The sequence below is a fragment of the Homo sapiens genome, chromosome 11 (assembly GCF_000001405.40).
Source record: "Homo sapiens chromosome 11, GRCh38.p14 Primary Assembly".
Classification (NCBI taxonomy): Eukaryota; Metazoa; Chordata; class Mammalia; order Primates; family Hominidae; genus Homo; species Homo sapiens.
In genome coordinates this window covers 106,765,119-106,782,983 of record NC_000011.10, presented here as the reverse complement: position 1 = coordinate 106,782,983, position 17,865 = coordinate 106,765,119, and the positions used below count along the sequence as shown (strand labels likewise).

The following is a 17,865-nucleotide window of genomic DNA, read 5'->3' as shown; positions in this document are numbered from 1 at the left end:
ATCACGTAGATTTTCATCTTTGGTTAAGAGTTCACTTCAGCCACCCTACTGAGTATCTGGCAACACAGGGACATAAACAGTGGCAAGTTGCTGTGTATGTCTGAAGTGAAGGATAAAAAGTAGAGGGCCTCTTAATGTACCCAAGACCATAGTTTTTCCTGCTCTTCTGTTACTAGTAAGTATCCATGAAAGTCTGGGCTATGGTTTTGTGTGTGTGTGTTTGTGTTTCCTGGCCAACCTTTTGGATATTCTTGTGCAGACCGCCATTGACCTCATTGTTCAGTTTCTAGTCACCAAAGACTTCCACAACTGCTTATGGACTCAGACTCTTGGCCAACCATTGGAGAAGCCCTCTACTATGCCCCATCCTCCCTGTCACCCAGGAACCACAACAAATGTCAGCTGATTGGGCTGGCAGGTGTGGCCCAGTTCTCTCAGCAAGGGAAATATGGCATCCTTTCTAAGAACCAAGCATTCTTGGTGACAGCCAATAAGCCCATGAAGAATATGGGACATTTACCAGTCCCCTTTCACCCACCTGAGCATGATGAGGTGTCCAGGTGCTCTGTGAGATACTAAGAGAGAAAAGAAAGCATTTCTCATCTTTAAAGTTTATCTATATCTGTCTGCCTACATCTTATTCCAATATCTCTTCTCTCTCTGTCTCTTTTTAAGGCACCAGAGCACCCTAGAACACAAAACGGCTGGAAAGCAGACTTTCTAATTTGCTGCTTCTCTTGATTGTGTCCTGGGAAGATTGTTCAGTAATGTAGACTCTGAACCTCTGCTCTTATGCCCCATAGAAAATTCAAAGAGGCACAGACCTAGGACTGTCAGATTGAAGGACTGAGGTGGTCACCAGTCCCATGGAACAGGGATGGTTAATTGCCTAATTGTGTACATTGTTCTTTTTGGCTAATCTTATCCTCAATACTGACCCCCTCACCCCGACTTCTTTCTTCCATCTGTGCCCAAATATCCAAGAAGTTCCCAGATATTTCTTAAGTATTAGCCTAGAGGGCAAGGAGAAAAATGTTATGGGAATGAAATTTAATTAGGAGCTAAAAGAAATTCTTTTAAATGATCTAAAACTAAAATAAACAAACAAGGTAAATGGGATGGGCGTGGTGGCTTATGCCTGTAATCCCAGCACTTTGGGAGGCTGAGGTGCACAAATCTCTTGAGCCCAGGAGTTCGAGACTAGCCTGGGCAACATGGTGAAACCCTGTCTCTACAAAAATTAAAAAAAAAAAAAAGGCAGGCATGGTGACATGCGCCTGTAGTCCCAGCTACAAGGGAGGCTGAGGTGGGAGGATTGCTTGAACCCGGGATGGAGGGGTTGCAGAGAGCCCACATCATGCCACCGTACTCCAGTCTAAGTAGGCAGAGTGAGACCCTGTCTTAAAAAAACAAAAAAACAAGGTGAATGCATAGCTCTAATATATTTATTTACACCACCTTTATTTCTGGAATAATGTAAAGATTTTGATTCTGAAGTTTTGAGAAAAGATAAACTGAGATAGGCAAATTCTTCAAAGTTTTATAAAAGCAGCTATAGTAATATGTAAGGGAGCAGTTGTATGTATTTTTAGTACTTAAGCCTCCTCTTCTATGTTCAGAAAATAATGTAAGTTTTTTCAGACATTTGCATAAGCATTATCTTTTCCCCATCTCCATGCTTAGTTTAGCCATCTTTATTCTTACCCAGTGCCATTCACGAACAGGTGGGAGATGGTGAAAATAAATGAAATGCACTATTTTAAACTGTGTCTGTTGTATTTAAACTATATAAAAACACTGAGGCAATTATAAAGGAATTCAGAACAAAGTCAACTTTTAGACAGTTTTTCTTTTTTTTTTTTTTTTTTTTTGTAGTCTGTTTACCATGTCCACTTGTTTCATTTTGGTTTAGCTCAAGGAAATAAACTCAGGAGCAATGGAATTGATACATGACACTTTCACTTTTCCTGCTCCTCATGAAGCAAAACCCACTAATTACTTTGAAGGAATCCACTAACACTTCCACATATATTTAATTTTGCTAAACTTGTATAGAGCTGCCTTAGAGGAAGAGAGAAGAGAGAAAAATGGAGCATTCCTGGAAAGCTGCATTAAGACTGTTGTGTTTCTGCCAATATTCTTAAGGTGCCGAATATATCTGGAAAGAAAAAAAATCACAAAGATATATTACATACACTTTACTTAATGTATATGCCAATTACTTAAACTTTCCAGACATTTTGATATTAGAGAATGTGTGATTATTTATTCATTCATGCAGTACACAAGGTAGTTTGGCATTTCCCATTCTCTATACATTAAGCATAGCCATGTAACTTGCTCTGGTCAATGAATCATGAAAAGAAGATATATATGTCACATCTGGGAGGAAGCTTTAAGAGCTCCTGTACAATTGGGTCAGAACCTCTTTTCCTTTGCTGTGGCGACTAGTTCCCGACGTGGAGGTTCTGTTAGCATTGTTCCTGGAGTGAAGAGATGTGGCACAGTTTCTCCCCTCCACCCCAATCCCTTAATCCAAATGGATATGTAGAATGAATGAGAAATACACTGTTGCTAATTTAGTGCATTAAGATTTGGAGGTTAAATTGTTACTGTATCATAATCTAACCCAGCCTATGAAAACATTTTTTAGGTTTCTGTATGTTGGATATTTATGAATAATTGTGAGAATTTCATTTCCTAATATGTGTCACTGTTTTTTTGATGTCTGTGTCTTCCCTACCTCTTTGGTCCTATTGTTTCTAATATTTGGAAACTAAATATATATATTTAGTTTACACACCTATGGAGAGAAAGAGAGAAAGGTCTCGTTCTCGCTTTGTCACCCAGTCTGGAGTGCAGTGGTGAAATCATAGCCCACTGCAGCCTTGATCTCCTGGGCTCTAGCAATTCCAAGTAGCTGGGACTATAGGTAAGGTCCACCTTACCTGGATAATTTTTATTTTTGTAAAGATTGAGGTCTCACTGTTGCCCAGGCTGGTCTTGAACTCCTGGACTCAAGCAGTCCTCCTGCCTTGGTCTCCCAAAATGTTGGGATTCCAGGTGTCAGCCACCACGCCTAGTCTTAAAGTTTTATACAATCATGTACGGATTGTAATATGAATTTGTCATATTTACATTGTGCCCACATTTATTTTCTACTTCATTCATTTATGTATCAGTTGGTAACATATTGGTCTAACTTTTCTATGCAATTAGAGTACATACTCCTAAGGAGAAAATGCAACATATAACTAACTAATCTCCATGTATTCTTGTGCAAATTCTAGTCATACATATTTAATGGAATTCAATGCATTTTTTTTTCTGAAAAGATAATTGAGATGCTGATGAGGATGATGATGGTGATAGACATTTCAGGAAGTGATTGTGCTCTAGGAACTTGGATGTTCAGAGCTACTGCAAAGCATTTTGATTTGTGCAGGCAATTTACTGACTATATGTTCTGATATCTGACTACCAGAAATAAGTTTTGAAGTACACAGCTAATAGCATCATAGATAGATTTTCAAAGTGTATACAAATATGAACGGGTGGGATAATGTGAAGATTAGCAAAGAACATTGTCTTATTAGGGGTAAAATGGTAAATAGGCACATTTTAGATGTTTATTCTTTGATGGGTGTCTTCCTCAGTGAGAATTATTTCCAGGAAGTATATTTTAGTCTTTGGAATAAAACTTTTGCCAACTCATATTGCATTGTCTTTCTATTCTTATAGTATAATTTTATTTTCATTTTTCTGGCATCAGAAAACAGGTCTTAAAGTGAAATTTTTGAATATAATGATAGATCTGGGGGTATTTGAATCAGTTTTAATGCATATTTCCTGATGATCAAGTGATAAGTTTTGCACTGTTGGTCTCATGAGCTTCTTAAGTGTTCTCATAATATTCCCTAAATTAGTGCTCATATAATTTCATGCAGTATATCTTTTTAATATTGTAGTGTTGGAATGCTTTTACATGGAAATTTAATTTTTGATATTAAAAATAACAGAATATTTTATAATAATTCTTGGTATATTTATGCTGGAAGCATCTCCATCACTGACGCATATTTTTCCTATACAGATCTACATAGCACACAGATCTAGATGGCGCTCATAAAATGAATGGTGAAAATAAGCAAACAGTGAAAATTACTTATTGTGATTATGGTTAGCATGGTTGATTGACTTATTCATTTAGCAAATATTCAATAAATATGAGATATTTAATAAATAGCTATATTATAGACATTATGCTAAGCTCTGTGAATACAGAGATGAAAAAAACATAGTCCCATTTCTTTTTTTTTTGAGATGATGGAGTCTCGCTGTGTTGCCCAGGCTGGAGTGCAGTGGCGTGATCTCCGCTCACTGCAAGCTCCGCCTCCCAGGTTCACACCATTCTCCTACCTCAGTCTCCCGAGTAGCTGGGACTACAGGTGCCCGCCATCATGCCCGGCTAATTCTTTTTGTACTTTTAGTAGAGATGGGGTTTCACCGTGTTAGCCAGGATGGTCTTGATCTCCTGAACATAGTCCCATTTCTTAAAAGCTCACATCGTAGCCAGGGATATGTATTGACTTTATATAGATACATATTGATTATAGCTTGTGCTGAACGTTAAAGCAGAAAGATGTGGAAGTGCTGTGGAAACAGAATAAAGAAAGGATTAGTTCTTTGAGAAATTATTTGATAAAAACTAAAGGAAGGAACATGGAGCACATCACAGAAAAAGTGACACTGGAATTGTGCATTTAGTACAATTTTTCATCACTTCAGCCTAATTAATAATATTAAAACTATTGAGGATTTTATTAGGTTGGTGCAAAAGTAATTGCAGTTTTTGCCATTAATACCACCATCTCTATTGTGGATAATTAGAGAGCTTTTCTCTAAAGTAATAGAACTTTTATTCCATGTTCTATGCTTTGGAAATTTGGGAGTTTTAACCTGGGGTAAATATTTAAAATATTTATTAACAGCAATGGACATTCAGAATGGATGTGACAATAGAATTAGAAGAGGGTCTGGAAAGACCCCTACGGTAGCTGTTAACTCTCAATTATATGGTTATGGATGGGCCTCTGCACCTCAATTTTTCATCTTTCAAATGTCACTAATACTTGTTTCTTCCTTTTTTTAAAAATTATACTTTAGGTTCTGGGGTACATGTGCAGAACATGCAGGTTTTGTTACATAGGTATACACGTACCATGGTGGTTTGCTGCACCCATCAACCTGTCATCTACATTAGATATTCTCCTAATGCTATCCCACCCCTAGCCCCCCACCCCCCGACAGGCCCCAGCATGTGATGTCCCTGTCCCTGTGTCCACATGTTCTCATTGTTCAACTCCTACTTATGAGTGAGAACATGCAGTGTTTGGTTTTCCGTTCCTGTGTTAGTTTGCTGAGAACAATGGCTTCCAGCTTCAACCATGTCCCTGCAAAAGACATGAACTCATCCTTTTTCATGGCTGCATAGTATTCCATGGTGTATATGTGCCACTTTTTTTTTTTTTTTTTTTTGAGACCAAGTCTCACTCTGTCACCAGGCTGGAGCGCAGTGGTGCAATCTCGGCTCACTGCAACCTCCGCCTACTGGGTTCAAGCGATTCTCCTGCCTCAGCCTCCCTACTAGCTGGGACCACAGGCACGCACCACCGTGCCCAGTTAATTTTTGTATTTTCAGTAGAGATGGGGTTTTACCATGTTGGAGGATGGTCTCGATATGCTGACCTCGTGATCCGCTGCCTCAACCTCCCAAAGTGCTGGGGCTACAGGAGTGAGCCACTGCACCTGGCCCAATACTTGTTTCTTTCATGTAGGATATTTGTGAAGATAAAATGAGACAATGTACATAAAGTGGTTGACGCAATGGTATGGGGTATGAATATTTAAGAAACATTAGGCGTTACAATTTTTAAGAGTAAGAAAGAACAGACCTGACGAAAAATTACAGATATATCTAAAAGTGTGGAACAATTTTCTTCAGGTGGAAAAACTGGGAAAAAAATGCTTTCCAAAGGAATACTTGAAAGTTGGAAGGAGATGAAGGGATGGCTCTGGAAAAGGCGATTATTTGGAAATTATCTAGGCAAAATACTGACAGTCCTGTTTTCGTGGGGGATAATTATTTTATATTATAGTTGTTCCTAATTTCAATGATCATCTCTAGTGATAATGTTAATGAACAACCCTGGAGTGAGATGTCAGTATTTGACTGTGGCTGTTTGCAAACTCTGCTGTGATTATAAACAGTAGTCTAATTGCTTAATTTATTGATGTTTTGCCGACATGTTTTTCAGCAACATTTGTGATTGCAGATAACTAATCATTTCTCTTTGGGCTCATTATCATACGTTTGCATTTGATTTGTCTGATTGCTGCAGGTGGAAACAATAGGTGATGCCTACTGTGTTGCAGCAGGGCTCCACAGAAAAAGCCTCTGCCATGCTAAACCCATTGCTCTGATGGCCTTGAAGATGATGGAACTTTCAGAAGAGGTGCTGACACCTGATGGAAGACCGATTCAGGTAACCCTCCCAACAATCTAGTTTGAGTAGTAAGTGCACCATTAACTGGAGGAGGCAAATAATTCCCTTCCAAGTTCTACTTTTTGTAATTTATAGATCTAGACAAGTTGGGTGCTTAAGGAGGACAAGGAGTGACTAGAGATAACTCATAAATCCAGGAAAAGAACAAATGGAATAGGTCCAAGATAGGAAATGGTTTGTGGAAGGCAAATTACTGTGGAGGAAAGAAAGAGCTAAAAGATTAGACCCAAGGGAAGAACTTACTGTCAGTGACCAGGTCACGAAATCCAAGCAAGAATGATGATGATGAGATTCGGAGTTTTAGAGGTAATCCAAGAAGTAAAACACAAAAAAAGCAAGAAAATGGAGGACCTGCGCAACTTCCTGTAGATAGTATACAGGTATTCCTTGTGAAACATCAGACCTCAGAGTTACTTCTGGAGTTTTTCTTGTGGCAGAGTTTGAAGATTGCAGCCTGTGAAAACTTTAAAAACAGTGGAAAGTCCAGATCCTGGTGTGTTGTACTCTTGGGTCTGATGGTCTTCTGCAATCTGAGGTCTACCTCTGGGAATGAAGAATGAATGAGGTCATCTACCATATTTCTGCTTGAGCCCAGTGATGGATCCCAGAAGTGTCATTACTTTGAAATCAGAAATCTTATATTTGGGGAAGTAAACTTGTATTCAAGTCCACCCTTTTATAACAGCTTACCAGCTAAGAGTTAAGAAAACACGGGGGCGGGGGGGCGGGCACAGGAAATGGCTAAAAATATGAGTACCGTTCTAGTTCTGGCATTATAGCAGATTGGGGACACTGAACAATCCATCTGATTAAAATTATGAAAATATTGGGTTAAATATATTAAAAAATATTTTTAAAAAACTATTAGGCACTTCTCTGAGCTCACAGGAACAGGAAAAACATGACAATTACACTACGTGTGTAGATTGAAAAAAAAAAACGTAATTGGTGAATTTAACTTAAGAGCCCTGTTATTAGCAATGATAGAAGGAAACTGGGAAATACTATTCCCCCCTGGAGGATGCCAACTTCAATCCTATCCTCAAATTATTTCCACAGATTCCATGTGTTGTAAAAATAAGGTCCTAGTTTGTGGTTGTATTTTTATCTTTTAGTTGTTCTTGATAAACCAGAAGGTTTAATTTTAATGTTTTAAATGATACATATTTTCTTTTATAATTTGTAAATTTTTGACCTGACCAGTTCACAAAAAATTCTTCCTGACTTAAGTCAGAATTTCCTAATGATAAATTTGCAGTTTCATAGTATGGGTTTTTACATTTAACCCACCTGGAAGATAAAGGTTATTAAAACGAGTAATAAAAAAGAAAAAAGCCACACACACATGAAAACAAAGTACTATGGGGAAGAACCGGGGGAAATTATAGATGTGAAAAAACATACCTGGGATGTTTTCAGATATCAAACTTATCAGACACAGAATTAAAATGACAATTTTTAACGTAACTATAAGAAATAAAAAGAGCTGAAAACTGTGAGAAAGGGACAAGACTTGGGAAAGAATCAGAGAACTTCTAAGCAATCAACACGATGCTTAAGAAAAGAAGAGAGAACAAAGTGGACAAGTTTAAAAGCAGATTAGACATAGATGAAGCAAGAGCTTGTTCACTAAAAGAACTGAAGAAATTATCAATAACTAAGTTCAGATATTTAAAAATGGGGAATATGAATAAGAGAATGTAAAATATAAAATATGTGGGAGACAGGGCGGAGAGAGTGGAAAGATGTAATATATATTCAATTGAGGTTCCAAATGAAGGTAACAGAGTGAATACAAAAAAGAGAATTATTTTCAGGAACTATTAAAAGATGTCAATCAGTACCCAGACACAGTAATCAGCACCCAGACACAGTAATTCCAAAGAATTCTGCAAAAGTTAAACCATAGGAATCCAAAACTAAACCCATCTTAACGAGACTGCAGGGCATCAGAGAAAAAGAGCAATTGATAAATTATAAAAGTGACAGCCTGGGCACGGTGGCTTACGTCTGTAATCCCAGCACTTAGGGAGGCTGAGAGGGTGGATCACAAGGTCAGGAGTTCAAGACCAGTTTGGCCAAGATGGTGAAACCCTGTCTGTACTAAAAATACAAAAAATTAGCCAGGTGTGGTGGCGGGCGTCTGTAATCCCAGCTACTCAGGAGGCTGAGGCAGAGAATGGCGTGAACCCGGGAGGCAGAGGTTGCCGTGAACCGAGATGCGCCACTGCACTCCAGCCTGGGTGACAGAGCGAGACTCCATCTCAAAAAAAAAAAATTATAAAAGTGACATTGATTGGTGTGAAAAGGACAAGGCATTCAATAAATGCTTGGGGGACTCTTGGCTATTCATGAAGAAAACTAATTGAAATTGGTATTGTACTTTATGAATCTTTATATAAATCAATTTTTGGTGTGGGAGGTAAATGTAAAAATTCATATTATAAAACTATAAATTTGTCATTAGAAAATTTTGACAAGTAGGGAAGGATTTTTTGTGAACTTATCAGGTCAAAAATTTGCAAATCATAAAATAAAAGTTTAGAACATTAAAATTAAAACCTTCCTGTTAAGAAGAACTAAAAAATTAAAATACAACTACAAATTAGGAGAATATTTTTGTGACACATGTAATCAATAAGTATCTAGTTAACCTTGTCAGTAATCAAATTAATAGAAATTTACAACACTATCATAAGCATTTCTCCCTACTAGTTTGACACAACTTTGAAAGTCTGACAGTGCCACTGTTGGTGAGGATCTGTAGCAGCAGGAAATCTCACCCATAGCTAGTGGAAGTATAAATGGTACAATTTACTTGGCATCACCTGGTAAAGTTTAACTTTTGCATGTCCTACAACCCAGCATTTCCTCTCCTAGACGTTTACACATGTACAAGGGAAGTACTTGTGCACGTGTAGCAAAAGTCACACACAAGAATAGTTTTTGTAACAGTCTCAAACTCTAGCTAATTCAAATATCCATCAACAGTAGGATAGATAAACTGTGTTATATTTATACCTTGGTATACCATATAGTTGGGAATATGAAAGACCTCAGCTACTGACATCAACATGGATGAATGTCAAAAACATAATCTTGAACAAAAGAATCAAGTCATTAAAGAATGCTGTAGTATTATTCCACTTAACTAAAGTTTAAAACTGGAAAAATGGAAACAATTCTATTTAGAAATACTTGCATTGATGGCAAAAAGTGTAAAAAATAAAAGGAATGATTAACACAAAATTCAAGCTGGTGCTTATCTCTGAGGGAAAGATATGGGAAGTAAGAGGATACAATAGGGAAGATAAACATAGTATAAAATTTTTTATTTTATTACTCTTCTTTAATATGCACATATATGTTTATATTTAACCATTTATAAGTGGAAAGAGAGTTTTCTAACCACTCCTACCAGTGATGAAAATGGGAAAATATGGAGCATTAAAAATAAAATCTAGTTTAAGTTCCCTCAGGGAATAATTATTGAATGGTACTTCTACCATGCCAGGAAAACAAACAAAAGGAATACTGTCTCACATTTGCTGCACACTGCAAATATAGACATTCCAGATTGAACTAATCAGTTCTTAAATTTTCAAGCCTACCAGCTGGGCAGGCTTCTCATTTGGGATTGTTTTTGATGTTGGATTTTCTTTTATGGAGAGTATGTTTGTATTGAATTTAGCATTGTCATAGCACAGTTAAATTACCCGAGAACAAAACCAGGGAATTGTGTTTTACAGTGTGTTCATCAATATTTTCATTTGTGGGATTTAATATTAGCTCTTTCTTATGAATCAGATAGTCTTATTAAATCAGAAGAGGAAATATCCATAAAGATTTAATAAGAATGCAGAAAGAGAATTCAAAATAATAAACCACCTTAGTAATTTTAGCTTCCTTACTAATTTATAGTATTTGCATGATTTGGGATTATTTTTCATCATATTAATTTGATTTTAAATTGCCTTCTAGCTTGGTGCTGTGGGAACATTTCCAAACTTATTGAGAGAATCTTTTATTATGAAACTGCTGGGGTGTTGTAGTAGAGTTGATATGTGATAGCTTACTGTTTACCTCAAATTATGTAAGTTTTTAGGTGATTTAAATTACAAGTTATTATAATAGCAATAATTGACTAAAACTGAATCCAAACTTTGAAAAGTAAATTGATAATTTGTATATGGATTTATGAACCTTTGAGGCATCCTGTAATGATGGGAAATAGGAGCCAAAATTGTCATATACAATTGCTTGGAAATGATTGGTAATGCCCTTGACTCACTAATTGTAAAACTGCCTGCATTTATTTTTTTTTAATTTTGAAAATAACCAGAGAATGTAGCATTTTGTTTTTTCAGCCTATAAATACTCAAGTAAATTATTGTTCAATAAGTACTCTAATGAAACTCAGAGGCTACTTCTGGACTATATCTATAAAGCATTCATAAATATGGTCTATCTATACAATACATTCTGAAAAATCAGTTCATGTTGACTTTAATTAGAACTGCTTTTATAAAAAGTGAGTAGAACTTTTTCACCCTGGATCAATATGATATTTCTTCTGCTGGCTGAAAATATGGAAGAACAGCATTATGACTGTTTCCTTTTTATTCTTCCCAAGGGAGAATCTGATTTTCTTGTTTTTTTTCCTCAAGACACAGGGTCTTGCTCTGTTGTCCAGGCTGGAGTGCAGTGTCACCATCACAGCTTACTACAGCCTCAACCTCCTGTGCTCAGGGGATCCTCCCAACTCAGTCTCTGGAGTAGCTGGGACCACAAACATGTGGAACCACACCTGACTATTTAAAAAAAACTTTTTAGTAGAGATGGGGGTCTCTCTATGTTGCCCAAGCTGGTCGTGAACTCCTGGCCTCAAGCAATCCTCCTGCCTCAGCCTCCCAAAATGTTGGGATTACAGGCATGAGCCACCATGCCAGGACTGAATTTTTAAATTTTAAACAGTAGACAATTGAAAAGTAAAATTATATTTGTATTCTCTCTTCCTTGTTTGCACTAGCTATATTGTGAATTCACCAGAGAAATGTATTACTTTAGTTCTCTAATCTTGTGAACCCAAAGGTATTTTGAATAGTTTTTAGTGCTGACTGGCTAACTTACACTAATAGTTTAACCACACTTTGATTAAAATAACCAAATATTTATTACTGCCTATGACTTATTCTTTCTTTAAAAAACACTGTTGATAGGGAAAGGGAAGTTGGGTCAAGGATTAACTAGAGAATGTACCTAGGGTATATGAGAAAGACAAATAGCATTTTCACGATTTAAGGCTTTTGAAGAATATTGAGTATGTCCAAATGTCTTTTAATTCTGTACTTAGTTTAAAAACTATTTTCATTAAATTTTATCTCATAGGCATACAAATTCAAATTTTCTTCATTAGTTCAAAGACAGTGCATTTTATATAATGAGGCAAGTATGCAGGAAACATTGTGAACTAGAGTTAAACAATGTGTAATCATGTTGTAATACTAATGTGTTTAGCAATCTCAATTGCAAATCAGGGAAATGCTATGAGAAAAAGACTCACAGCATTCCCTGATTTGCAATTGAGATTGCTAAACACATTAGTATTACTGCCTGGTGCAAAAGCAGGAATATTAATGTGCAATTTACATGTATTGTAACACATTAAATTACAGCTCCTTAAGCTTCAACTTTTAATGAGCTTACAGGATTTTTTGAGATTATGCAATAATTGTTCTCTAATTAATTTTTAATTTTTAGCTTCAACTTTTAATGAGCTTACAGGATTTTTTGAGATTATGCAATAATTATTCTCTAATAATTTTTAATTTTTAAATAGTTTTTGCTATTTCCAGAGGAAACCTGATGTTGTTATTTTAATATTTGGAGGGATTTGGGTTTTGGAAATATTGCAATATTTAATTAACCCTATCAGATTTCAGCCTGAGACTGTATTTAGAAAAAAGAAAAACTAATTACAGTTGGCACTCCATATCCATGAGTTCTGCATCCTCCGATTCAGCCAACTGTGGGTCAAAAATGTAGGTAGGCCAATGATAGTTGCTTCAGTATTGAACATGTATAGACATTTTTTTCTTGTCATTCTCTAAATAATACAGCCTAACAACTATTTACTCATTATTTACAACACGTTACATATTATAAGTAATCTACAGGGGATTTAAAGATTTAAAGAATGTGGTAGGATGTCCATAGGTTGTATGCATGTACAACACTACTTAATATAAGGGCTGCAAGTCTCTTATATTACTTATAATACCTAACAAAAAGTAAATGCTATATAAATCATTGTAATACTATATCATTTTGTTTGTAGTTTTTAATTGTTGAATTGTTATTTTTGTTTGTTATATTTTTTTTATTTTTTAATGCCATATTTTCAATCCACGGTTGGTTGAACATGCAGATGTGAAACCTGTGGATACACAGGGTCGACTGTATTTGGTAACCTAATTAATTTTCTAAGATTCTTTGATAATTATTTATTTATAAAACTCAAGTTAGTACTTTTTAATCACATTGAGATTAAAAACATATAAGGAGAAAAACCTAAGGGGTCAGAAAAAACTACATAGGCATTATATAAAATTACTGTTAAGATACTGATCCCAGTTATCCTCATTTCTCACATTTATCAATTAGGAGTATTTAAATTTGCTTTTAATCTCCTAGATAATGCATATAGTGGCAGTTTTCATAAGTCAGTGTTCTATTGTAACAGTAATATGGAAAAATACCGTATAATGTTACTGGTGAAACTTAGGACTAGATAGATATATTTTCCGATAGATTTATCATTTTGAATAGTAAATTTATTTGTAACTATAAATGTGTTTGTTTTTAAAAAGTATTTATTTAAAGTATTAATATTTGTGAGTGTACCAGCAAAGTTATGAGTCTCTTCTGTAGTTTGCTTCCTTTTAATAATCAATGCCTCATTCTACATACTCTCCTTAGATCTATTTTCCAACTTGCCAATACTTCCCTCAGTTGGTTGTAAAAATTATTGATTAAACTCATCCACTTGATGCTTAAATGCTGATTATACCAGTTTATAGTGTTTTGCAGTTCCATTTGTCTGACAAAATTTTTCATACCGTTTTTATTTATTTTCTTGAATAAATCATCTGTAATGATTGTAAATGCTTCTCCTGGTAAGTCAGTCTCCAGAACTCCTGCAGTCTATTACATCATTTGTTCTTTCACTTAATTTTCAGTCATGTTACTTGTTTCCTGTGTGACTAATTACACTTTTTTTTGTTTGAATGCTGGAGATTGTATATAAAATATTATAGAAATAATTTAAGACTTAGGATGATTTTGCAGGGAAATTTTAGTGTGCTTCTTGAAAGAGACTAGGGGCTCTAGCAGTTAGCGATCAGGGGATTTAAAGCTGGGTTTTGGTCTCTGTGAGGACCTGTCTACTTCTGGTTCACCTCTATGTTTTGGTATTACCCTTATACCTGTGGTCATGTTCCCATCTCAAAGTGGGGAGGGCTTTCTAAGGTCTTTGCCCTAGGAATTCTTAGGCTCCAGTTTATGTTCTCTTGGCCCTGGCTGTCAAAAATGCTGCTCAGCTTCTCAACCTTTCCATTACCTTTTCTGGAGCCAGAAGATGCCCACAGGATAAAAGCACCACCAAGTTTACTTTTCACTTCTCAGGTTTATCTTCTGCCATATCTTGGTACAATAATTTTTCGTTACTTTGTTAGCTGACCAGCATAGGGTAATTCAAATGATATAACCTGCTATTTTATATGTATATATGCTAAGTTTCACAATAATTCTGTGAAGGAATTATTGCTATTATTTCCAGTTTGTAAATGAAGAAAATAAGCATAAAAAATAGTTAACCAGAGCTTCTAATATATATACTGTGTATACATTAAATAAAAGCATGTTAAATAACATTTATATTGTCAAATCTTCCTATTGCCTTGAATATTCCATTAAAGTTAGACTTTTCATGGCTTTAGTCTTCAATAAATTTAAATGTATGTTAGATGTCCTCTTTGAAAAAGTAGAAGTAAGTTCTCTATTTTAAAGGTATTCCATCCAAAAATAAAATAATTTGTTTTTAAATTAGAAAGTAAGAGACATTCTAGCTGCATGTGGTGGTAGGGGGGCATACCTGTAGTCCCAGATACTCGAGAAGCTGAGGAGGGAGGATGGCTTTAATCCAGGAGTTAGACACCAGCCTGTGCTGGACAGCATAACAATACCTTATCTAGAAAGAGAGAGAGAGATTGACATTGATTAAATTCAGTTATGTGAAAAAAATGAGTGTTATTCTATCAATCATTTTGTAAACTGCAATCACTGGCCAGATTGGGTGGGGGATGTATTAGTCATGATGCTCTGCTTTTTTTCTATATTTTCCCCTTGTTTATTGTTTGTTGTGGATTGTAATGCAGAAGCTACATATTTAAACGTTTTATATTTACATTATTTCATAGGGTAGTCATTGAATTTAAAGATTAGGTCATATTCTATTTAATTATTTTTATTTATTGAGCACATTTGTTTTAAGCATAGAATTACTCTTCTGGCATGATGCTATAGTGCTGAACTTTAATACACAAATTTATTTATAGACAGATCTACTTACTGAGCACATTATTTGTTTTAATTATAGAATTACTCTTCTGACATGATGCTATAGTGCTGAACTTCAATAGACAGAGCATCCTTAATACCTTACAATTCCTCTGTAAGATATCAGCATAATGATTTAAAACACAATATTGTGTCTGTGATGTGTATGTCAATGAGACAGAATTCCACTGCTAGTTTATTTTAGCTTTTATCTGTAATCATGAAAGATTCCAATTTTATATAATCACAGAATTTTAATCATATTTTCAGACTATAAAATAGTCTATCAGGCATACATTTCTAAAAATGCTAGTCTTACTGAAAAGTTTTATTATGATATTTGTCAAACAGATTTCCCAAGCAGTCCTTTTGTGAAGATATTTGCATATTTATGCTACAAGAAAGAATAGTTAATAAGTTAGTGAAAGAAAAAACAAAACCAAGTGATGGGAAAAAAAGCTAAACTGATTCACATGAAACTGTGCATGCAAAGCACAAAATTGCTTAGTTTGATTTTGTGCAACAGTCTTGACTTTCACATTTTTGGAAGAAAAATACATTCTTTAGTGGAGACATGGTTTGAGTATTTTGTTAGTTAAATATTATCATCACTATGAGGATAACTACCTTTAAATAAGTTATAATCTATTTCATGTATTTTATTCCTGCCTCTTGTCTCCAGTGTCCCACTAAGACTACTGATACAATGTCCATAGAAGAGGCTAAAAGTTATATTAGCAAAGTCACTCATTTTTATTTGATTTTTGTGTGGTGTGCTTTAGAAGTGTGAGACTTCCAAGCAGTTAGGAAGCTCGTGTTTTTATTTATCTGACGTTTATGTAAAGAATAGGAATCTCCATCTGCCAATATTTTTTCCCTGGTAGAGACAGTAAATGTGATTTCATCAACCCATTTAGTAGGTTAGCCCATTATCTTTAGCATATGGTCCCTTTCTTAGGTGTTTTTGAATGGGTTTTTAATCTTTTACTGACACTTCAGTCTCTTTTAAGCCTATATGCATATAGGCCAACATGAGTAGCCTAACTCTTACAATATGAAAAATGATATGAAAATAGCAAGATACAACACATAAGACAGTAATGTGCTATCTGCATGCTAATCACACTATTGATTTAGTTAGTTAGTTAGCTTTTACGTTTTTGACCTGTTGTTTTGAGATCTCATATCTCGTTTCAAATAAAAGTTTAAAAATTATTTAATCTCTTTATTTGTTTTCTAAAATTACAAAAAAAAGATCTCTGAAAACTAGTATTACAGAAGATAGTTAAAATCACCTATAATTTACCAACCAATTATAGACATATTTTACATTTTTATGTATCTTTAAAGTCTTTTTATATGCAAACATTCAATACAAACACATAGAAATAGAAGGTATGGACTTAAAAAGTAGATTATTTTAAAAACTGAATAAGCTTCATTCAACTTGGTAATATCATGACACACAGTGTACCAAAGATGCAGAGAAATATGCAGAAAAAACTTGGTTAGCCCTAGGAAGAATCTTTCATTATTATTAACTCACTTTGGTTTTGTATTTTTCTGTTCCTACAATTGAATTTTTGAGACACTGGAAGGTAACTCTTTAATCACCTGAGTTGCAAATGTGGTACTAACAATTCAGTGTCACAAGTGCTTTTCAAAGTATGTTAAGCTTTTTGTTGATGTCATGTCAGGCATATGGTAATTGTCTGGGTCACCACTATAATATTCCTTATTTGGAATGTGGTTTCCTAGCAACTCTTGCTTTTTCCTAATGGCTGAATTGATTTCTGGACATTTGTAATGCTTCCTACTGCATCAGAAATTGTCACCTTGTGTGTAAATGTTACAAGACCAAATTTACATGTAGATTCCATTTTAAGAAATTATTTTGCTTTATCACTTGCCTTTAATGTGTTTGTTCAGAGGTTAAACCAATCAATCATAAAAAATGAATTTAGAAAACCTCATTAATTCAGACTCTTTAGGGAAATATGGTAATTTTGACAAATTCCAAAATATATGCAAATAGTTCTTAGTGGGGAACCTCCTGAAGTTGAAGAAACAGAGTAATTTTGATGGTCAAATGACCATGTAATCAGGAGGTTGTTAGAAACACAGGTCCGGAGTATGCATGGGGTGTCCCAGGGGAGAAAAGGCTTACTTTGGAGGCTTGCTGTTTCAACTCACATGAAGCCTGATTCTACATGAATCTGGTTGGAGCCTTGCTGGCAGCGACTTTTACTCATTTATTCAACAAATGTTTTTTGAATGCTTATGATTTTCTAAACAATTGGTTAGGTATTAGAAATGTGAGGGTAAGCAAACCAGGTACATCCCTGATCCTCCCACGAATTACAGCCTATGGAACCAACAACTAGAAATTACTAACTTGGTGAGGAAGGAGAAATAGACTCAGTTTTCTCTCAATACTCTTTCCACCTTAACATCGAGAGGTTTGGGTTAGGCTTTTAGGAATATAATTCTTTGTAGAGCAAATATTCAGGATGTCATTTACATTCAGACCTACATTATTTTGGTGTTTTTGTAGATTTCATATGTTCTTAGGGAAGTGAGGTTGAAAGGCATTAAAAACCAACTATGTGGTAGGGGTTAGCTTGACATTTACATATTATCTCACTTAATCTACACAACAACTAAGAAGGGCATATATGCAATT

At 35.1% G+C, this 17,865-nt stretch overlaps 1 protein-coding gene and 1 long non-coding RNA gene across 3 annotated transcripts in view; one reads left to right on the top strand and one right to left on the bottom strand.

Moving 5' to 3' along the window:
- GUCY1A2 (guanylate cyclase 1 soluble subunit alpha 2) overlaps positions 1-17,865 on the top strand; it is a 344,458-nt gene that overhangs the window by 235,493 nt on the left and 91,100 nt on the right. For both annotated transcript variants that reach the window (NM_000855.3, NM_001256424.2), the window contains exon 6: positions 6,402-6,545. In NM_000855.3, the coding sequence (NP_000846.1) occupies positions 6,402-6,545 (144 nt within the window). The remainder of the gene's footprint in view (positions 1-6,401; positions 6,546-17,865) is intronic.
- LOC112268081 (uncharacterized) lies at positions 1,835-16,817 on the bottom strand. Its single transcript, XR_002957264.2, has 5 exons — positions 16,729-16,817; positions 14,719-14,814; positions 6,810-7,109; positions 4,420-4,653; positions 1,835-2,158 (listed from the first exon to the last, which is right to left on the bottom strand). It is a non-coding gene; the product is annotated as an uncharacterized LOC112268081 (long non-coding RNA).